Here is a 23,791-nt window from a genome sequence, read left to right as displayed (position 1 = left end):
GCTCCCATAAGGGCCAATGTGTGTAGATAAACCAAAAATGGAACAAGCTAGTGTCTGGCAATGTGGGCCTCAGCAACAGCTACTGACACTCACATCTCCCCATGAAGCTTAGGGGTCCCTGTAAGATTGGAGAAAGACACCTCTTCACTCCAGCCAGAGTGGCCGTTTAGAAGGCCACCATGCATCCTGCTGTGGGGAAACAGGATGGCCAGGCAATTGCAAAGCCAACAGCACTGCAAACATTCCAGGCACATTCTGCCCTCTGCTGCCTGCCACTCCATCCCCACACCTGGGGAGAAAAGCAGAGTGACTCCCAGAGACTTACCACCCAGGAACTTTTCGTCCTTTGCCTCATCCTTAGCAGTGGCAGGAGGAGTTAAAAATAGGGGAGGTGAGGGGGAAAACTGGAAACAAGGTTCATTACCTAAGGTTCCTCTCATCCATTTCAATAGATGAAAGCAAAGAAAATAAAGCAAAACCCATCCAAACAGTAAGCAGGTGGTGGCCGCTAATAGAGAAGAAATAAAAACCTTTTAGGAATCGGAGCCTACTACCAAACACACTGACAAAGTGGAATGAAAGTTCTGAACAATCAGTTCAAAGAAAAGGGTGTTTGAAATAAACCCTTAAAAACATTTCAAATGCTGAAGGAAAAAAAAAAAATAGCTGCTTTAGATATCTGAAGCCAGGACGATTTAATCTGGAGAAGGGACTTTTTGGATATTACTGGAGGAAAAAAGAAAACAAAAAGAAAGAGATTGAGAGAATGAACTGAGGAGTCCTTGAAAGTAGTGAGGTTCAGAGAACAAAACCGGCATCAGGTCCCCACGACTGCCAATCACAGCAGGTTCATCACCAACTCCTGGGTTGACCCGGAGCTTTTAACCTCCCCATGCCTCCATTTGCCCAGCCATAAACGGGGGTTACTAATAGGCATGTCCTCTCACCCTCAAGGTCCCCAAGGAGGTTTAATAGGATAATGGACCTGATCCTATTGATGGAGAATGTGTAACTGCCACATTGTGACCCCTACCTTTACAGGCCAATCAGGTATCCTCCTCCCAGAGGCTTTCCAGGACCCTCCCCTATTTGGTGAGTTTCAACATTCATTCAATCATTTCCCATTACATATGCCTGCTATGTCACCATATAGGAGGCATGGTGACACAGGATGACAGACTGAGGAAGAAAGAACACACAGTGCCCTCCCTCAAGCTGATCACAGGTTGAAGGAGGCAGGCGTGTTAACAGGTGATCATATAACAGAGTGCAGGAGCATGCCTGGGATGTCTCAGGAGTGCAGCCCAGAGAGGCTTCCAGGAGGAGGTGATGACTACGTTTGTTTCTGGCAGAAGGGCAGAAGTAGCTGGATGTCAAGGCTGAGAAAGGTATCTCCAGCCAAGGTAATAGCATGGATGAAGGATGAGTGGAATGAGTTTCGTGACTTGTATGGCAGGGGTTTGGGGTGCAAGGACAGAGTGGAGGCAGAAGAGCCTGGAATGGGAAGCAAGAACTTCAGCAATGTGTAATTGTTTAGGTCAAGAATTGCAATCAGCTGCTGGGTCTGGAGGTTGGTAATGAATAAATATGGCAGCTCCCCAGTCATTAGCAACACTTATTTTTCTGAACATCTCTCTTGAACAGGTGGCTTCCATCTTCAAGCTCATGTCATTGGTAAGGAAGGGAGGGTGGATAGGGCAGAACCACTCTGCAGGCTCTAGCACAGTCTTTTACAACAAGGGAGGGGTGAGTCTGGTTTTGTTTTGTTTTGTTTTTGAGATGGAGTCTTGCTCTCTTGCCCAGGCTGGAGTGCAGTGGCATGATCTCGGCTCACTGCAACATCTGCCTCCCGGGTTCAAGCAATTCCCCGGCCTCAGCCTCCTGAGTAGCTGGGATTACAGGCGCGCACCACCATGCCTGGCTAATTTTTTGTATTTTTAGTTGAGACAGGGTTTCACCATGCTGGCCAGGCTGGTCTCGAACTCCTGACCTTGTGATCCTCCTGCCTGGGCCTCCCAAAGTGCTGGGATTACAGGCTGGAGCCACCGCGCCCAGCTTGAGTCTGGGTTTTATCTGGGGAGTGGTCTGTGACCTTAATCAGATGGGATTTGCAATCATCCTGTACGACACCCTATCAGATATTTGCACCTCAATTATCTGTTTATACAAGAGCTAGAAGTCCTAAGGGATGGGCACATAGGAAAACACTTTGAAGAGAAAAGGATAAGAAAGTTTGGACATTTGCTTAAGTGAAAACAAAACCCGAGACTCTTAATATATAGGGTACCAAGAGGTCCCAGTTTGCCCAGGGGAATCCTGGTGTATACCTATTATCTCTTCATCTTGTCCACTTTGGATGTGTCACAGATTATACCTTTATTATTTTTAACAAAGTGCTGTTATTTATTACTGCATTAAAATAAACTAGCAGGGAAGAAGCCTGGATAGCTCAGTTGGTAGAGCATCAGACTTTTAATCTGAGGGTCCAGGGTTCAAGTCCCTGTTCAGGCATGTCATATGGCTTTTAGTACCTAATTCTGACTTTTTTTTTTTTTTTTTTTTTGAGATGGAGTCTCGCTCTGTCACCAGGCTGGAGTGCAGTGGCGCAATCTCGGCTCACTGCCACCTCCGCCTCCTGGATTCAAGCCATTCTCCTGCCTCAGCCTCCCGAGTAGCTGGGACTGCAGGACCACCACGCCCAGCTAGGTTTTGTATTTTTAGTAGAGACGGGGTTTCACCATGTTGGCCAGGATGTTCTCGATCTCTTGACCTCGTGATCCGCCCGCCTCGGCCTCCCAAAGTGCTGGGATTACAGGCATGAGTCACTGCGCCCAGCCTCTGACTCAATTTTTAAAAAAGAAGACAACAAAAACAACAACAAAATAAGCCAGGAGGGGTAGGTAGAGAGAGCTGCTTTTTGTTCCACCAGCTCCTGCCAAGATCTTATATAGCTGTGTGTGAGATGCTAGTTCAGAGTTCTCCTTTGAACTTGTGGTCAGGTTTGAAAGACGACCAGTGATACCCAAGCCCTTTTGTTACTCTGTTCCAGACACAAGGTAACTGACACCCCATTCTCAAGGGATGTGAAGTGTACCCAGATATAAGCACGTGAGATCAGCCAGGTTCTCCAGGTGAGAAGTGACTGCTGCTGCCCTACCGGCTACCAGTGCAGAGTGCTGGGGCCCGTGGTGTGCAGCCTGCCACCATGATGCCTGTTGGCAGGGTCCGCGGGAACTGTGGAAACCAGAGGGTAGGTGTGCAGGAAAATATTGGTCCATGCAGGACACAGAGGCTGAGCAGCCCCACCATAGAACATAGAATAGTCTGAATGCTCTTACAATACCAGTTTTGCATTTATTATATAATTGACATTTGCAACTATTGATTTTATTATTTGGTAACATTTTTATTTTGAAGTAATCCCTTTTGGCAGCCATCAGCTCCAAAAACCACATGTACATGTTTAATGAAAAATTAGGTACTGAATTTCCTTACTCACGAAAGCCAATGTACATGTAACTTGCACAAAAATGTTTATCAATATTTACCATTTATTGTGGCAGATGACCACACAGAAAACAAGATTTGCTAACAGAATATCAGCATTTAATTTTAAAAATCGGTAGTTATTTTAAGAAGACTTTCCTATAGATGAATTCACATGTGAATCTGTAGCAGGTGGGCTTACAGATTCTTCTACAAAGCATGATTTTTCATTGTTATCAAATGACTGTTTCTTTGCTAAATTTCTAAAATTTTTTTCTTCCAAGTTTTTGTTATGCAGGTGCAAAACATGTAGTGCCTACACTTAATGTATTGGCATTTGAGACAGAAGAAAAATTGCAAACAGTTTAAAGGCTATCTGTTTTATCAGTGCTATTGGAGACTTCACAAAGAAAATGCATAAGTTTTAATAATTGGTTCAAATTTTCACTTCCACTTCAGGAAATCAAATTATTAAAATTTCTGAAAGTTCATTCTAAAGAAGGTGAAACATCTGACTTATTGTTAATACTAGTAATACTCCATTTTTTAATGAACTTGTTAGTTTAACATTGAAAATGAAGTTACTAAATTTTGTGGTGATAACACCCACCCAAACTTTGGTGAAGCACAAATTCATGGTAAAAAGCAATGTCAATATAAAATTAAGAAACTTATGAGACAGAAATAGGTTTGGAATTTGTTTTGGTGTTCATATAATTCACAGCTTCCTCCCACTTGCTGCAATGTTAAATCAATTAAAAATTGTAGTGGTTTAAATTTACAAATATTTGTGTATACTCCATTAGAGCAATCAAGCCACAATATTCTTGTGATGAAGTTGATGTTGAATATTAAAAAATACTTTAGTGTGGCAGTGTGGACTTTTTATCTTTTTGCTGCTTGCCATCAATGGAGTTTTTCAAGAGTTTGCACCTTTGAAGAGTTTCTTTGTAAATCAACCTACACGTTCTGCAGTGGTTTTGAACTTCTTTTATAAATAAATCTGTAAATTGTGGTTATATTTTATTCAACACCAGTTGGATATATTTAATCAAAATCTCGAAAGAATAGAGTGCTCAAAAAAACTTTACGTTAAAATATTTAGCTTTTATTCAACACCAGTTGGATATATTTAATCAAAATCTCAAAAGAATAGAGTGCTCAAAAAAACTTTATGTTAAAATATTTAGCTAGTTGCAACTGTTGAAAATGAAGCTTGCAAACAGGAAAACAATGAACGTTATCCCTATAACAGAAAGAAAAGAACCGAACAAATTAAAAGTTGAGAGTTCAAAAATTATGCAAGATTTCCTGTTCAAAATTACGATTTCTTTTTGGAATACCTTAACCTCTGGGAAGAATCTTTTGATATTTCTGTTTTTATTTGGATACATTTATATTTTTATTCAATGGAATGAAATGGAAAGACCTATGATTTGGAATCATAAGTTGAGACAACTTATCTAAAGAGTTTTTCCCTTTAAAAATACCTGCCAAAGTGCTTGGGAGGTAAAAAGACAGTATATGAGAAAATATTTGGGCTAAAGTATTTATATATTTTAATCTGAAAAAATAGAAAATTGGAATATACTCTAGCAGAGTTTGCTCTGAATTTATAAGACATCTCAGTAACTTTGGAGAAAGTATTTTCTCAATTAGAAATGTTATTATAATCTTCAGTAACATTCAATTGAGGAAGTTAACAGTTTCAAATTTATTAACAACAAAATGCAACTTTAGTACTTTTTATATGTAATACTTCAAAAAGCATTAAAGTGCAACTTTGAGGAAGAGTATATGATATGCAACTTTATGAAAAAAAGATTAAAAAATAATGTTTAAAATATACATCCTTTAGGCAAATACCATGATATAATAATATTAGAAATAGATATGACAAAAAAATAAAATACATGCTAAACAGTATTGTTCTGCTAACGGTATTGTTTAGCATTCAAATAAGAGATTCAATAAGATAAATTATTTTCATTTTGCTTTCATGGAAACAGATATATGTTACATTTATTTGGTAGAAGGAATTTTATTTTTGAAACTAGGTTTTAAATAAAATTATTTTGTAAGTCCACGAATATCGTAAAGTCAGTGTATTGGTGAATACGCTAATATTTTAAATTACGTAATTTTGATTATTCCCAGCGCTATCTTTTATTCTCAAAAATGTGAGAGTGGCCTCCCTATAACAGAAATAAAAACTGAAGAACTACTCAGCAAAAAGAATTAAGAAATGGATCGAAGAGTCAGAGAGCAGAGGGAAGGCAGGAAGACAGAGGGAGGGAGACAGGATGAGGAATCCCAAGAGACAGTAGTGAATCCCTGAAAATGGCCCAGTGACCTCATCATACAGGGTCCCTCTGGTGGCAATTACCCACCCACTCCTCCCAGCCCCATTTGGAAAGAAATAATGTATCAACTAGAGAGACAGTACTGTCAATGGTTGATTCTTTCCTTTACCCACTCATCTCTTACCCGCTGGCTCCATCATTCATAGGTTAATCGACATAACCAACCACGAAGCATTTGTTGAGCATTTACTATGTGCCAAGCACTTTCTTAGGCACTGGTGATGTGCAAAATGGAATGAGACTAAAGTCAGGGTGTGTATAGTCTAGTTCCAGAGCAGGGCAAGGAAGCTGCCAGCTGGGATGGAGACCTGGAGGGGACCCAGAGGAGCATCTGCTTGTAAGAGGGGACTAAAGAAAACTCAGGGGGCTGATGCCAGGTTCTCCGCTTGAGTCAAGCTGCTGCCTCCACTGCCACCCCCACCACTGCTTCCTCCTCCTCCTCTGGGAATGCTAGTTCACCTGTTGGAGTTTTATATAAAAATGCAAGCAAATGCTCTCTGCTTTTGATATTTTTTAATAGTAAAAGAAGAGGCTGGGTGCGGTGGCTCATGCCTGTAATCCCAGCACTTTGGGAGGCCAAGGTGGGTGGATCACCTGAGGTCAGGAGTTCGAGACCGGCCTGGCCAATATGGTGAAACCTCCATCTCTACTAGAAATGCAAAAATTAGCTGGGCGTGGTGGCACACACCTGTGATCCCTGCTACTCGGGAGGCTGAGGCATGAGAATCACTTGAGCCTGGGAGGTGGAGGTTGCAGTGAGCTGAGATCATGCCACTGCACTCCAGCCTGGGTGACAGAGTGAGAGAGAGCGAGACTCTGTCTCAATAAATAAATAAATAAATAAATAAAAAAGAGCGAGAATCCAGACCCCAAAGAATTTCCTTTGGTGTGGTTTCCAACTCTTGTTTCATTCCTGTCTGGTCTCAGACAGTGTCCTGGGAAGACTTTTAGGACCCAGTAGCCATTTCCTATCTCAGGTTCCTTGTGTGTTGTTTCTGGGCACAGAAACAAATCCAATTCAAGCAAATAATGCTGTCATCGGGATCTTGTGCAGGCATCAGAAGGGAGCAGGCCTGGCCAACGGAGTGCTCTGTTTAAAATATCTTGCGATCTTCAGAAACATTTGTTTTTATTCAGAAGTGTTCATTTGATGCTTCCCTGACCCACACAGTTTCCCTATGGGCTTAAGCTCCCATTTGTTAAAGAAACAGATGGGAAAACCAGTTCAATTTGTGTTTGTTTTAGCATTTAAGACAGCTTACCATGAGATGGTAGAGTTTGGATATTGCAGGTAGCAACATGTTCTTTTCAGCAGGTGTGCAAGGGAACAGAATCATACAGCTGCTTCAGAGAGGTGGAAGCAGGAACCCACCCAATTCCACGGAATAAGTCAGTGGGTGGCACCGAAGTGGAGCCCTGTGATTCTACTCTGGTCTCATATAATTCGAATGAGTCGATCAAACATAGGCCAGGACTCTCAAGCGTTGGGCAGATTTTGCCAACTGCTGTTGGTTTTCTCATATGTCTCCTACCTTATTTTCGCCTCCCCTCCCATTCAAATGGAATGATTCCATACACAAGTCAGCTCACATAGCTTATTATTTTGTTTTTTTTTTTTTTGTTTTTTTTTTTTTTTTTTGCTTTGAGACAGTCTCGCTCTGTCTCCAGGGCTGGAGTGCCATGACACAATCATAGCTCACTGCAGCCTCAGCCTCCTGGGCTCAAGTGACCCTCCCACCTCAGCATCCTGAGTAGCTGGAACCACAGACACACACCATCACGCCTAATTTTTGTATTTTTTGTAGAGATAGGGTCTTGCTATGTTGCCCAGGCTGGTCTTGAGATCCTAAGCCCAAGTGATCCTCCTACCTCAGCCTCCCAAAGTGGTGGGAATAGAGGCATGAGCCACTGTGCCCAGCCCATCTTATACCTGATACATCTTCATCCAGGGGCCCCTGTACTAGTCAGGGTCCTGGCAAAAAAAAAAAAAAGACAGCACACTCAATGTGTTAGTTTAACAAAGAGAGTTTAATAATGGGACAATTTATGGAGGTGAAAGGGTAATGGGAATTGACAAGAGATGATGAAATCCCTCAGTGGACCAAGGTGGCAATAGAAGGAACCATGCTTCTGGGCTGGGCGAGACCTGCAGCTGAGGGAGAGAGGTGGTGTGCCAGGAGCTGTGACCACAGGGAAAGGGACACAGCTACTGCCCAAACCATGGTGAGGCAGGAAGGAGCTGGACTAACCAATCCCCTGATCGCTGACCTCCTTCTGGGCCTTCCCATTGGCCAAACCCAGCTGAAGACAAGCAAATCTAGGTGATGCAGTCTGGAGAGGCCAGTCTCATGGCACAGACGGTAGGACGGAGAAGGAGGGAAAATGAAGGGTGAGTCTGGAGTGGTAAATAGAATAATACCCTCCTGACTCAGGCACTCATGATCCATCCAAAACTCAAGAGGCTATTTCTCCCACTTCCCACTGGTGAAGTAGAAAATTCTCTCTTCCAATGTGGTGGAGCTTTTTGGCAGTGAACTTGAAGCTTTGTGGCTTCATCAAAATCCAGCATGGGCAACAGCCTGCCAGTACTGAGTTTCTTAGTTTTACCAAGCCAGCTAAGTGTGACTTCACATCGTGCCACCATGGGCAAGAGAATCCAAGAGCTATGTCTTTGGGACTTTAGATATGCTGTTTTTTTTTTTTTTTTTTTAAGATTTAAAAAGTAGAATCCTGACCTGAGAGTCTGAAAACATGGGCTCATGTTCCAGGCGGCTGTGGGGCTTTTGATAATTCTCCCTGGGTGTTTTCTCATCTGTAAAATAAGGAACTTGGGGGTAGAAGTTGGTTTAAGACCCTTTTGGTTCTAACATTCAGTAGATCTTTAAATCAAAACCAAAAGACTATTAGGAGGAATGATAGGCTTCTCCAGGTGAAGTGAACCAGCCTCAGAAATGAGTCCGTGGGGAGGAAGAGGAGGTTCTGAGGTGCTCAGGGCACTGGATCAATTGAGCATCACCTTGTCAGGATCAGAAAGTGGGGAGGAGGATCACCACCATGCAGCGGGCTTGCTCCTGTTTGAAATGCTAGCTCCTCTCAGATGTCTCAGAATGCTGCAGGGTTTTTTCCAGGCTAAGACTAACCCTAAAGATTCAAGCAGCTTCCTCATTTTCTCCTTTTCCAGCAAGAGGAAAAGAGATACTTGAGTCTCCTTTATGTGAGTTCTTCTCAAGTGAGATTGTCAATAAAATTCTTTTCCTGTAATTCCTTTTGACCTAGTCCTTGAGGGTATCCTGACCCCTAAAGGGTCCCCTGAGCCCTCCTTTTACTCCTCTCACCCAAGTCAGTTGGATGTGCAGTGAAGGGTAAAACTGAAGATGAATGATGTTTAGAAAGAAAGAGATTCATGGCCAGGTGCAGTGGCTCACGCCTGTAATCCCAACTACTTGGGAGGCTGAGGCAGGAGAATCACTTGAACCTGGGAGGTGGAGGTTGCAGTGAGCCAAGATTGCACCATTGCACTTCAGCCTGGGCGACAAGAGTGAAATTCTGTCTAAAAAAAAAAAGAAAGAAAAAGAAAGAGATTCACAAACTAGATTGGTTACATGCCCACATGTAACCAATGTAGGGCATGAATAGCCTACCTTGGCTAATCTCTTTAGCTATGACTTGCAGTGGTGCATGGTCAATCACTATGGTCGATCACCTCGGAAAGGTACATCTGTGCTCCACTTGCCTTTTTGTAAAAACAGCCCAAGAGCAAAAGCTGTACCAGTTACACATCCTAAGAGCAATCAAGATTCCTACACGGCACCATTAATTGTTGACTATGATAACGCATCTTGTTATCAGCTTTTCTTTGATGAATTCCTGAATAGATGTCATTAGACATTAAGTGCTACATTACTTCCTCTAAAGAGAAATATTTAAAGAAAAAAAAATCATGTCCTGAATCAGCCCTGAATGCCATCCTTAGCAATCTCAAACCACACTGTAGAATCCTGTTCTTCTTAGTGAGATGCTCACATTCACTTCTTTGCCTTCTGAGAATATGGATCTTTGAGGATAGAAATGAAGAGTAGATGTTCACCCAAAAAAGGGGTAAGAGAGTTTATATTCTAAGAAATTGACTGGATCCCCCAGGAAACAGGTAGCCGTGATGAGGTATAGATAAACAATCTCAGTTTTTCAGCACCCTGTGTAGGGAATTAAACTCACAACTTCCATGTTAATGATACTTTCACATTTAATTTCCTGTGTGCCACGCTGAAAATGTATCTGTTGAAAGTGGAATTTCACTCCATAGAGCTGTCTTATTACATGAATGCGTGTGAGGTTGTACCTGTCACAAGATTCTGGAAGCTCATTTAGAACTATAATTTGGGGTGTGGGGGACGAAGCAGAAAGGTTTGTGCCTTGTAGGACTATCACTGTTTTCTCGATGACATTATTACTATTGGTAATTGGTTACTCATTAGCACTAAGCATTAATTATTAATATTAATAAAAGCTGTGTTAAGCACTAGTGGTGTGCTTTCTGCTGTGCTCAACATGGGACACTCTAGATCAACGGTTTAGCAGACAACACGCTAAACGTGAAGGCAGATACAGACCAGGACTGTCTGGATTTCTGTCTGGGATGGTCTTACTTATTATAGGACATGGCCTGGGTTTCTGTCCGGGACGGGCTTGCTTATTACAGGACGAGACAGCTTTGCATAAGTAGATGATGCGTTGAAGCCCCCGTGAATATAGGAAAAGTGTACATTAGCAGGAGAAATGAAAGCGTCAAACTCGCTACTCAGAGTGTGTTCCCAAGATGGGCGGTATTGTCATCCCCTGGGAAGTTATTAAAATGCAGAGTCTTAGGCCCCATCCTGGACCTCATGAATAAGAATCTGCATTTCGGTGCCCTCCCAAGGTGATGAATATACACATTAGAGTTGGAAGACTATCATTCTGGAGCAGTGATTCTCCAGCTTTTCCGCACATTAGAATCATGTTGGGAGTTCTGAAAAATCCCAATGCCCAAGCTTCACCCCAGACCAATAAAATAAAAATCTTGAGGCTGGGCACAGTGGCTTATGCCTGTAATCCCAGCACTTTGGGAGGCTGAGGCGGGTGCATCACGAGGTCAGGAGTTCGAGACCAGGCTGACCAAGATGGTGAAACCCCATCTCTACTAAAAATACAAAAATTAGCTGGGAGTGGTGTCAGGAGCCTGTAATCCCAGCTACTTGGGAGACTGAGGCAGGAGAATCACTTGAACCTGGGCAGCAGAGGTTGCAGTGAGTCGAGATCACGCCACTGCACTCCAGCCTGGGTGACAGAGTGAGATTCTGTCTCAAAAAAAATATATATATATATTGGAGGTTGGGACTAGGTACCAGGATGTTTTTAAAAGACCCAGGTGATTTCAATGGGCATCAGCTTTGAGAACTTCTGCTCAAGAAGACAGTGACACCAGGTTAACATAGAATTCTTTGAGAACCTGCAGAACTCATATTCTAATCCTTAGAGTAGATCCAAGATGGCAGTACATATACAGGTGCTCTGTTCTGCCCTGCACACCTCCCTTTGACAATGTTCCCCTCTCCCCACCGCACCCCTGTTCATCATCCTCCAAGAGCCCCCAGCTCTTCAAGGAACCTTGTCTGGCCCTTCTTGGCTCTATGTTCGCTTGCTGCTTCCCTGAAGTTCTCTTGGACCAGTGTTCTCTTGCTCTATTCCAGCTTTTGTTGCTTGTTCTCCCCTCCAGGTGAGATCCCTTGTCTAGGATTTCTTGGCTCTCCAGCAGCCTCTGTCCTTTCCAAGGTTCAGATTATCTATCAAGGTCGAGGGGCTGGGTGGTGGGAAAGACTGGGGAGCCCCACTCTGCATCCTCCTGCATTTTAACAGTGGCCTCTACAGATAAGGACCTTACCAGTCTTTTGAATTGTTGGAAGCCTCCAGTTCTTATCTCTATCATGAGGATGCTACTACCTACCTTACAACTTTGCTTGTTAAATTCTAAAGCACTTATCACACAGCTTCTTCTTTCCTTCTCCTCCTCATTATGCAGTCAATCCAGAAAGGAGACCATTGTGGTAGAGGCCAGTTGATAAAGTCAGAGCTGACCCTATATGAAGATAATGTAGAAAACTGTGCATTTGTGATTGGAGCATTCTAGGGAGACACTCTCCTGACTTTTGAGAAAAACTCAAATCTTTTCTCCTCCCAAATCTTTTCTCCTCCCAAATCTTTTCTCCCTTTTTTCATAGTAGTATAATTTTTTCTTTGTGCAGTGGTGCAATCTCGGCTCACTGCAATGTCTGCCTCCAGGGCTCAAATGATTCTCATACTTCAGCCTTCCAAGAAGCTGGGATTACAGGCATGTCCCACCACACCTGGCTAATATTTTGTATTTTTAGGAGGGATGGGGTTTCGCCATGTTGGCCAGGCTGGTCTCAAACTCTTGACCTCAAGTGATCCACCTGTCTGGGCCTCCCAAAGTGCTGGGACTACAGGTGTGAGCCACCACGCCTAGCTAATTTTTTTCCTGCTAGGCACATTATTGCAAAGAATAAGGACTACATATTCCAGCCTCCCTTGCAGCTGGGTGTGAAGATGTGACTAAGCCCGTATGTCAGTTTCCAGGAACCGTCCTTAAGGGGTGGCTTGTGCATGCTGTTGCCCCCTTCTTTCTTCCTTCCATCATCCTGCTGCCTGGAAGATGGGGACAGTCATCCTGGGCCAGGAGGCTGAGGACTGTCCTTAGAGGTGTGGGCGATGAGCAGGAAAGGACCAGAGTTCTTGAGATGTTTGAGGACAGCATTTTGGGCCACTTCCATTTGGACTTGGTTGATGTGAGCATGAAATGAGCTTCCATCTTGTTTAAGTCAGTTGTTTGGGACTGTCTGACATTTGTAACCAAATCTAATCCCAACTGATGCACCACCTAAAGTTTCTTCTCCACTGGCCAAAATTCCACTTCTGAAGATCTATTTCATTGGGCATTAAAGACTTGCATCAGCCTTTAGGAGAGCTCTGATAAATTACAGATTCCACAGGCTGGGTTCATAGCTTAAATCCTTACAAGCATTGTTCTTAGCAGGTTACCCAGCCCCAGAAAGGTAGACAGACAGCACTGAGGAGCTGGAAGTCAGCAGGAAGAGCAGACAAAAATCTATTCCTTCACCATTCTGCCAGCTGCTCTTTTGGGATAATTTGTCTCAGGGCCAATGAGGACGAGGGTTGATGATCTTGAATCTGTTTCCTAACTTTTTTTCAATTTTCTATTATGAACATTTTCATACATATAGAGAAGTTAAAACAAAACAAAATAAAACTTTTCAGTGAATACCCATACACTCACCACCTACGTTCAATTGTTAACAATGGAATATACTTGATTTATCACAATCTGCCCATCTGTTTGTCCCTCTGCCTGTCAATCCAGCTTTTATTTTTATTGTATTTCAAGGTAAATTGTGCCTGTCGGTGCACTACCCCCTGAATACTTCCCTGCTACCTACATCTTGTTCATTTCTACACTTTCTTCTTTGTTTCTGTTCAACCCCCATTTCCCTGCAAGTAAGGAGAGCAGGAGCTGTGGAGCCAAGAATTGTGACCTAGAGTCCACATAGGTAGGGCTTCTCTTGTCTATTCCAACACCTGAAGTTATTGGGCAGTTAATGGAAGTGGCAACCAAAGTAAGACAGAGACATTCTTTTGGAGCTATCTTGCTTCCATTCTCTCTCCTCTTCAAGATGCTCCAAGGCTGTTCTCTACGTTTCCGTGAGCTCCATAGGTCTCCCTCTCTTTTCCTGACTCCTGATTCATCCCATTTTTATGACTTCTTGAGATGCAAAGATCACTCAGTTCCCTTTAGCCAGAATCTTTATAACAACTCCATTCCTTCTCCTCAAGTAGCTCTTCCTCTACAAAGCTCTGCAGCATAGCCTTCCTCCCTTTGTCCCATCCTTAGGGCAGCTGGCCAGACATGTCAGGTCTGTCACGCTCAACCTTTGTTACCCTAAAAAAATCAGTTCGCCTCCTCTTTGCTCAAAGCTCATGCTTTGCTCTGTGTCATCTTTCTTAGTGTTCCCTGTGGTTGCAACTCAGCCCTCATCAAAGCCCCAGTCTCCTGAACATCCTCCTTCCCACATTCTAAAAATTTCAGAATATGAGATCTCCTAGCTCTGAAGAGGAAATGAGATATCTACTCAGGATTAGGTCCCTGAGCTTTCTAGTAACAACATAGGTGCCTACTGGGGTTAGTTTGATGAACACTGCCATGGGTTGAGAACAGAGAATGTGCCAGGAGTCATCTAAGTACTGTGCACACATGCATGCTCCATCATTTTATCCCCGCACCCACCCTTCCAGATCAGCTATTTTTTTTCCCTTTTCCGGATAAGAAAACTGAGGCATAGAGAAATTAAGTAACTAAATCAAGCTTGCCTAGGTAATAAAAGTCTTCTAGATGTGGGGTTTTGGTGGTGATGGTGATGGTGGTTTTGAAACAGGGTCTCACTCTGTTACCCAAGCTGGAGCGCAGTGGTGCAATCACAGCTTACTGCAACCCCATCTCCTGAGATCAAGTGATCCTCCCACCTCAGTCTCCAAAGTGGCTGGGACCACAGGTGTGTACTACCATGCCCAGATAATTTTCCTACTTTTTTGTAGAGACAGGGTTTTCCCATGTTGCCCAGGCTGGTACCGAACTCCTGGGCTCAATGGATCCAACTGCCTTGGCCTCCCAAAGTGCTGGGATTACAGGCATGAGCCACCGTGCCTGGCCTAGGTGCATTTTTTTTTTTCATGCGATTGAAAAGAATGATTTCTGTGCAGAATGTGGGCCTCCTGCTTTGTAGAGCTATAATTAAGTTCATGTTTTCATGCTGCTGGGTTTTTGTTTGTTTCCTATGACAATGTTTTTCATACTGGAATCTTCAGACCCCAAGGGTTCACCGACATTCTTGTGTTTTACCACATTTTCTTTGTGAAGAGCTCTGTGCATTCTTCCAGTTTGAGAAACCGTGGCTTAGAGGTGAGGGGGTGGGGTGGGAGTGGGGGTTGTCCCTCGCAGCCTGTCATCTCCTTACTGTCACGGCCTCCTAGACTATAACCTGGGCTGTTTAGATAGCTCTGCCCCTGGAACTTAGTCTCACAGTCCATTCAGAGTAATTCATTTTCTTATCCACCTGATCTGTATTTTGAGTTAGAAGCGGAGCCAAGAAAGGAGAGAAGAACTCAAGGGACAAGGAGAAAAGGAAGCAGTTGTATTCCAGGTAGGGGGAAGACGTAAGCAAAGACCCAGAGCTGAGCATTCGATGATGTGTTCTGAAACAGCAGAGGGGCTCCTCACCTGGGGTGCAGGACTAGGCAGGGCAGCAGGACTGGGCAGGGCAGCTTACCTGCAGAGCCTTGAATGCTGAGCTAGAGAGTGTGGACGATGCTGTAGGTGATGGGGAACCGGAGAAGGAGCAGGTAAGGAGGACGTTCCAGTCTCCAGTGAGACCTCAGAGGCACCAGGAGGAGACGGGCGAGGCAGCTTTCGAGGTGGCGGGATGTGAGATGAGGGTGGACAGGTCCCTCCTGCCTGGCCCACCAAGGAAGTGATACAGAAGAGATTCCCCTGGTCTATTCCTCAGCCATGAGAAGGAAAATACACGCCCTGAAGACTTGGCTTAGCCCTCAGACCCTCCATCTAGATTTTAGCCATTCTGCGTCTGAAAGAAACATGTTTAATTCTGTGTTTTGAGCTGTCCTCTGCTTTGGCGCAGCACGGGCTGGAGTGAGGGATAATAACTATGAACTCCAAGCCTTGAAATCAGGGAAGTGTGCTGAAGGGTCCGCTGTGTCTCTCTCAAGTACCGAGACCATTTCTGACCTCGAGCATGAGTTGAGGAGACACAGATGAGCAAGAGCAGCTGGCCGGTGTGCCGGGTCCTCTCATCTAATGATCGTGCCAGCCTGCTTAGGGCATGTGCACATCCAGCCTGCCTGCCCATGTGAAGGCGAGGCTCTCCCCTCCCGCCCAGCCTTGGTGGGCCCCTGTGATGTCACCACCATGTGTCCAGGCCTTCCAAGGGACCTGTACAACATCAACCATGCCATAGCCTTCGATGGTCAATGGACATACTAGGAAAATGAACTTTCCCATTTGACAAAGGAACGATAAAGAGAGAAGGACCCAAAGGCGGGTCTGGGACTAAGTTGGACCCCAAGCCCCTTGGCGTGACCGAGCCCCAGCACAGCTGTGACATTGGCAGCCGGCATTTGAGGCACAATAATAATTCTTCAGATCAAAGCAGCTCCGTCTTTAGACAATTATAGTAAAATTGAAGCTCTCCTCTAAAAGAAACACATGCTCGTGTTGTGTTTTCCCCTCTCCCCCCCGCCCCTTATTTTATTCTTTATGAACAAATTGGTTTTCAGGGCTATAGAAAGAACCGATTGGAAGCTTAAATTCTCACTGTCTGCCCAGGGCTGGATTCACAGGGGTGAACATGTAACATCTGAAAGCTGACTTTTTTTTTTTTTTCTTAAATTGATATCCAAGAATAAAAGAGAGAATGGTTGGAGAAGCTGATCAGGAATGAATAAAGTCTCCTTTTAAGCTGAAATAACCCCCTCCCCCATCTTCCCTCCAGAAGAGCCGGACTGTAATTGCTTGCAATCACTCGGCACAAATTGTCTCCTCGTATTTGCTTTTTAATTTTGTATAATCTGGTCCATTTCGCTCTCTCTGCCTTTGAGCTTAACCTCTCTCTCCCTCTCTCTCTCTCTTTCTCTCTTTCTTCCACTTACTCATTCCCTTTCTCTCTCCCTTTAATTCTTCAGGACTGTTTACAAATTAGTAATAATTCCCAGTAATATTTGATGGCTTTTACTAAGCAAAGGCACTTAGGAGAAAAAAAATACAGAAATACACACACACTCAAAATGGAATGGATCTGGTTTGCATCCACTTAAATGTTCATTTCTGCATCCACAGTATTGTTTATTTTAATGCATTAATGCTGTTTCTTAAGGCATGGTAGACGTTTTAATAAATAAGTTCACTGACCCCAAAGTGAGCAAAAAAAGGAGTCAGAACAAGAAAGGTAATTTCTCAGAGTCACTGCGGACCATTTTCTTCTGGTTTCCAGCAGGTGTGTGTCTGCTGCCCTTGCTCTTGCTGTAACGAACGCCCCTTCTGTTTAGTGCACTGCATATCCGTCCAGCCACCTCCCTAGCCAGGGCTTGCCCTTGTTCTTACGCTGGTGCTTCATGATATGAGGGCCAGCGAATCTGGAAGAACACACACCTGTGGGTCTGATTCACTTTCCAATAGTATAAAAGGTGATAGGAAGGTGGGGGGAGGGGTTCGACGGGGAAAAAGTCCAGAGGAAACATCCTCAATGAGCAGAGAAAAGAAGAGATAACGAAAAGAAGGGAAACGGCAGGAGGGTATAAAGGGAAAGCAAACAAAATGAAAAGCACAGGTTATACCAGAAACGATGAATGGGATCCAGGCTCAAATCTATGCCTTCTATCGTATCAGCACCATAGGCTCTGGTCTTCTGAGAGAAATTAGAGGTCAAGAGAAAGAACGTTAGTAGACAGCCTGGCTAAGAGTTTGATTTCTGTCCTGCTTCTGATCCCTACTGTGTGACTGTTCACAGCTTACTTAACTTCTCTGTACTTCAGTTTTCTTTTCTGTAAAGTTGAGGGGACAATATCACTTTCTTAATGGGATTACTTACATGAAATAACAATTGTAAAGTGCTTGGCATGTTTTAAGTACTTAGTAAATGTTAACTATTATTCCACTGTAATAGCAAATGATTTTAAGGTATCAGGGTTCAATCAGGGAAGCAGAAACTATGAGTATTATGGACTAAGAAATTTATTATAGACTTCAGACCTTGCATAATTGTGGGAGGAGTTGGGGCAGTAAGATCTGGAAGGGGAGTTGGAGTATCAGAAAAGTCACTGAAGAATTCTGACAAACATATAAAGAAGCATTAACACCAATTCTACACAATTTCAATATCATCCAGAAAAGAAGCACTTTCCAATTCATTTTATGTTGTTAACACTATATTGATGCCAAACCCAGACTAAAATAGTACAAAAGAAAACTACAGACCAGTATGCCCCATGAACATAGAGGCAAAAATCTTTAACAAAGTGTTCGCAAATAGAATTCAACATTATATAATGAGAATGATACACCGTGACTCAGTGGCATTTATTATAGGGATGTAAGACTGGTTAGATATTGAAAAATCAATCAATATAATCCACCATATTAACAGGCTAAAGAAGAGGAATGTATAATCACATGATTATATCAATTGATGCAGAAAAGTATTTGACAAAATTGAATACCTATTCATGATAAAAACTCTTAGAAATAAAGAAATAGTAACTTCATCAACTTTATAAAGAGCATCTACAAAAACCTACAGCTAGTGTTATACTTAATGATAAAAGACTGAACACTTTTCCGCTATAACCAGGAACAAGGCAAGGATGTCCACTCTTAACACTCTCATTCCAAATAGTACTGGAAGTTCTAGTCAATGTGTTAAGGTCATAAAAAGAAATCAAAGGTACACAGATAAGAAAGGAAGAAAAAGAAGTATTTTTATTTGCAAAATACATAATTGTCAACATTGAAAATCTCAAGGGATAAGGAAATTTAGGATTAGAATAAAAATGTTTTTAATCCCAAGGAATCTACAAAAAACAATAATGACAAAGCTTTTAGAATGAATAAGTTACTTCAACAAAGTCACAGGGCATAAGATAAACTTACACAAAAGCAATTGCACTTCTGTATACTAACAATGAGCACATGGAAACCAAATTAAAAATACATCATGTACCATAGCTAAAAAAAAATACGCAGGTGTAAATCTATCAAAACATGTACAGGACTTGTATATTGAAAACTGCAAAGTGCTGATGAAATAAATCAAGGAAGACCTGAATAAATGGAGAGACATTCAATGTTGATGGAAGACTCAGCATAGGAAAGATGTCAATTTTCCTCAAAACTGATATATAGGCTTAGTCTAATTCCTATCCGAATTCCAGCAAGTTTTTGTAATATAGGAAAATTATTCAAAAATACTTATGGAAGGACAGAGGAACAAGAATAGCTAAAACAGCTTTGAAAAAGAAAAATAAAGTGAGAGGAATCATCTAGCCAGTTTAAAGACTAATTAAATAGCTATAGGAATCAATGCTGTGTGGTATTGTTACACGGATAATGAAGAAGAATAGAAAACCCAGAAATAGACCCACACAAATACTTACAAATGATTTTTGACAAAGGTATAAAAGCAGTTCAGTGGAGGAAAGCTAGCCTTTCAGTGACTGCTGCTTGTATACGTGGACTTCCATAGGTAAACAAAAGTGAACCTCAATCTTGGTTTACACCATACATGAAAATGAATCCAAAGTGGATTGCAGAATTCAATGCAAAACATAAAACTATACAACTTTTAGAAAAAAGAAGAGAAAATCTTCAGGATCTAGGACTACAAAAGATTTGTTGGACTTGACACATAAAAGCAAAACTGATAACTTAGACTCCAAAAAATTTAAAAACTTTTACTCTATGAAAGGCCTTAAGAGGAAAACAAAAAGATAAGCTATAGACTGGGAGAAGATACCTGAAACCCCATATCCAACAAAGGACTAGTATTTAGACTATATAAAGAACACTTAAAACTCAACAGTAAGAACATAAACAATCCAATTAGAAAATGGGCAAATGTCATGAAGAGACATTTCAGCAACGATGGTACACAAATGGCAAATGAGCACATGGAAAAATGTTCAACATCATTAGCTATTTGGGAAACATAAATTAAAAGGATGATGAGATATCATGACAAACCTATTATAATAAATAATTTAAAAACAGTGACAATGCCAAATTCTGGCAAGGTTGCTGTATTAGTTTGTTCTTGCATTGCTGTAAAGAAATACCTGAGACTAGGTAATTTATAAAGAGAAGAGAGGCAATTGGCTCACAGTTCTGCAGCCTGTACAGGAAGCATGATGCTGGCATCTGCTGGGCTTCTGGAGAGGCCTCAGGAAACTTACAATCACGTTGGAAGGCGAAGGGAGAGTAGGTGTATCACGTAGCCAGAGGAGGAGCAAGAAAGTGGCAGGGAGGTGCCACTCACTTTTAAATGGCCAGATCTCACGAGAACTCACTGTTGTGAGGACAGCACAAAGTGGATGGTGCTAAAGCATTCATGAGAAACTGCCCTCATGATCCAATTAGCTGCACCCAGGCCCCACCTCCAACATTGGGAATTACATTTCAACATGAGATTTGGTCAAGGACACATATCCAAACTATATCAGATGCAGAAAAATCAAGTGACTTATACATTGCTAGTGAGAATGTACAATGACACAGCTACTTTAGAAAACAATTTGGGAGTTTCATAAAAACAACAACAACAACAAGCAATTACACCACCCTACAACTGCACTCCTGGATATTTATACCACAAAGATCATTTATGGAAATTTGTGTTCACACAAAATACTGTACATGACTATTTATAACAACTTGATTTGTAATAGCCCCAAACTAGAAACAATCCAGTTGTCCTCCAGTAGGTAGATGGTTAAGCAAACTGTAGAATATCTATAACATGAAATACTACTCAGCAATAAAAAAGAGCAAACAATTGATACAGGCGACCACTTAGATGAATCATGTGAGAATTACGCTGAGTGAAAAAAAGCCAATCTCAAAAGTTTACAGACTGTAATATTCCATTTATATAACATTCTTGAATTGACAAAATTATAGATATGGAGAACAGAGGAGTAGTTGCCAAGGGTTAAGGAGAGAGTGGGAATGGGAGGGAAGGGGGTGTGGCCCAAAGGAGAGCTCCTTGTGGTGATGGAACCATTCTGTATCTTGACAGTATCAAGGTCACTATCCTGATTGTCATATTGTACTGTGGTTTTGGAAATATTATCATTGGAGGTGATATGGTTAGGCCTTGTGTCCCCACCCAAATCTCATCTTGAATTGTAATCCCCATAATCACCATGTGTCAAGGGAGAGACCAGGTGGAAGTAATTGAATCACGGGGGTGGTTTCCCCCATGCTGTTCTTGTGATAGTCAGTGAGTTCTCAGGAGCTCTGATGGTTTTGTAAGGGGCTCTTTCCCCTTAGCTCAGCACTTCTCCTTCCTGCCACCTTGTGAGGAAGGCGCCTTGCTTCCCCTTTATCTCCTGCCATGATTGTAAGTTTTCTCAGGCCTACCCAACCATGCTGAACTGTGAGCCAATGAAACCTCTTTCCTGGCTGGGCGTGGTGGCTCACACCTGTAATCCCAGCACTTTGCAGGGCCAAGGCGGGCAGATCACTTGAGGCCAGGAGTTCGAGACCAGCCTGGCCAACATGGTGAAACCCCATCTCTACTTAAAAAAAATTTACAAAAATGAGCTGGTGTGTTGGCATGTGCCTGTAATCCCAGCTACTTGGGAGGCTGAGGCAGGAGAATTGCTTGAACCCAGGAGGTGGAGGTTGCAGTCAGCCAAGATAGTGCTACTGCACTTCAGCCTGGGCGACATAATGAGACTCCATCCATCTCAGAAAAAAAAACAACAACAAAAAGACAACCTCTTTCCTTTATAAATTACCTAGTCTCAGGCAGTTCTTTATCGCAGTATGAAAATGGACTAATACAGAGGAAATGGCAAATGATACATATACATTTACCTCTGTATTGTGTCTTCAACTGCGTGTGAATCAACAATTATCTCAAAATAAAAAGGTTAGTTTTTATAAGAAGGAACTCACCACATCCAGGGACTCCATGAGCTTTTCCATTTAAAATTAACTTTTTGTGTTTTCTCTGGTCTGTTTGGAGGAATTATTCAGTATGTCTCACATACGTGTCTACTCTTTGCTATTGCCCATCTTACTGATACCCATAAACAGGGCAGATAGGTGTGATAGAAAGTGAGACGTTAAAAGCAGATGGAAGAGTTTCATTAACTCCAGTAATTAGGCAAATGAGCTTCTTGGGTAAGTCGTTTAGAATGCTATAGACAGGGATGTTTATTCTCCATGTCATCGTACGGAGGTTTCAGTTGTTACTAATATGAAGACTTACAGATATGTTAAAATGATATTGATTCCTTAATTATTTAAAACAGGGAAAAGAGTTTACAGAGCAGACAATCGGAAATCATTTTAAATGTTTTTACTAAAAAGGAAAACTATCATACAAAAGCATAAGAAAATGCGATAAAGGTTGGGGGTGACCTGGGGTAGGGAGAGGTGACCGAGGGAGCCAACCCGCATCAAGACAAAAAGCAGGGGTCTAAAGAGCAGTTCAAAAGTCAGGTGTAAGCCGAGGTGAGTGGATCACCTGAGGTCAGGAGTTCGAGACCAGCCTGGCCAATATGGTGAAATACAAAAATTAGCAGGGTGTGGTGGCAGGTTCCTGCAATCCCAGCTACTCAGGAGGCTGAGGCATGAGATTTGCTTGAACCCGGGAGGCGGAGGTTGCAGTGAGCCAAGATTGCACCACTGCCCTCCAGCCTGGGCAATTGAGTAAGACTCAGGGAGGGAGGGAAGGAAGGGAGGGAGGAAGGAGGGAGGAAAGGAGGAAGGGAGGGAGGAAGGGAGGGAGGAAGTGAGGGAGGAAGGGAGGGAAAGAAGGAAAGAGAGAGAGAGAAAGAGAGAAAGAAAGAAAGGAGAAAAGAAAAAAGAATTCTACTTGGGTGTCTTGGCAGGTAACCACTCTGGGGCTGAAAATGTGTATAGAAAAGGAAGAAAGAAAAAGAGAAAGAGGCATAATAAGAGAGAGAAGGGGTTTGAAAGTAATTTCTATAAAGATAGATGTTTCTGTTGACTAACCAGGAAACAGAGAAATGAAAACCAAGTCATTTCAAGAACAGGTGTCTATTGCGGGATGGTGCAGGACAAAATGGTTCAAGTGCCTTCCTGTGAAGCCAGCACCTATAAAGTGCTGGAGAATCTGTTAAACACCTGAGCTTAAGTGCCCCTTATTTAGCTAGCTAGTGTCTCCATCTTCCTGGGAAGGAAGTTGGGATGGAAAGGAACTCCAATCAAGCTTTTCAGAGCTAGGCTGTGTGCTGAGAACTTCCCATGCATTCCTTCACTGAGTCATCACCATGAAGTAGGTATGACTCTCTCATTTTTATTTTATTTTATTTTATTTTTTGAGACGGAGTCTCGCTCTGTTGCCCAGGCCGGAGTGCAGTGGTGCAATCTCGGCTCGCTGCAACCTCCGCCTCCCAGGCTCAAGCGATTCTCATGCCTCAGCCTTCCCAGGAGAGCTGGGAATACAGGCATGCGCCACTACGCCAGGTTAATTTTTGTATTTTTAGTAGAGACAGAGTTTCACCATGTTGGTCAGGCTGGTCTTGAACTCCTGGCCTCAAGTGATCCACCCACGTCGGCCTCCCAGAGTGCTGGGATTACAGGAGTGAGCCAGCGTGCCCGGCCGACTCCCTCGTTTTGTAAGTGTCTGAATGTGGTTCAGAGAGGTTCAGCAGCTTATTCAAGGCCCTTCTACTAATAATGCAGATTTGCATAGAAGGAAACTTTCCAGCTCACGTGATGCAGTCAAAGCCAGGCGCTCTGGGGCTGCCACCGATGGGGGAAACTGTCCCTGAAAGACCAGACCTCATGGTCTCCATTCCTGATGCCAGCATTTTCTCTTTCATGGGGGCCTCTCATCATTATCGCTTTGTCCACCAGGATGGTTTCCAGAGAGATGCCACCTCTTGGAAGAAAACTGTCACTTTCCTCTATAAAAATTCTCCAAAATAGGAAGAGGGTTATGCTGGTTGGGGGAGGTGGTGCAGGAAAGGGAAGAGAGTGGTTCTACCAGTTTGCTCAGAAGCACAAGGCTCCGCTACCCTCTATATGTGGTGGTTTTACCTCCATTTCTAACCAA

The 23,791-nt window shown here is 42.8% G+C and overlaps 1 protein-coding gene and 1 non-coding gene across 2 annotated transcripts in view; both read left to right on the top strand.

The window, feature by feature from the left end:
- Window positions 1–23,791, top strand: part of ZFHX3 (zinc finger homeobox 3) — a 1,109,046-nt gene that overhangs the window by 411,103 nt on the left and 674,152 nt on the right. The gene's annotated exons all lie outside the window — the stretch shown is intronic.
- TRK-TTT1-1 (tRNA-Lys (anticodon TTT) 1-1) lies at window positions 2,439–2,511 on the top strand. Its single transcript has one exon. It is a non-coding gene; the product is annotated as a tRNA-Lys (tRNA).

Source organism: Homo sapiens, chromosome 16 (genome assembly GCF_000001405.40).
Source record: "Homo sapiens chromosome 16, GRCh38.p14 Primary Assembly".
Lineage (NCBI taxonomy): Eukaryota > Metazoa > Chordata > Mammalia > Primates > Hominidae > Homo > Homo sapiens.
This window is presented reverse-complemented; position numbering and strand designations above follow the sequence as displayed.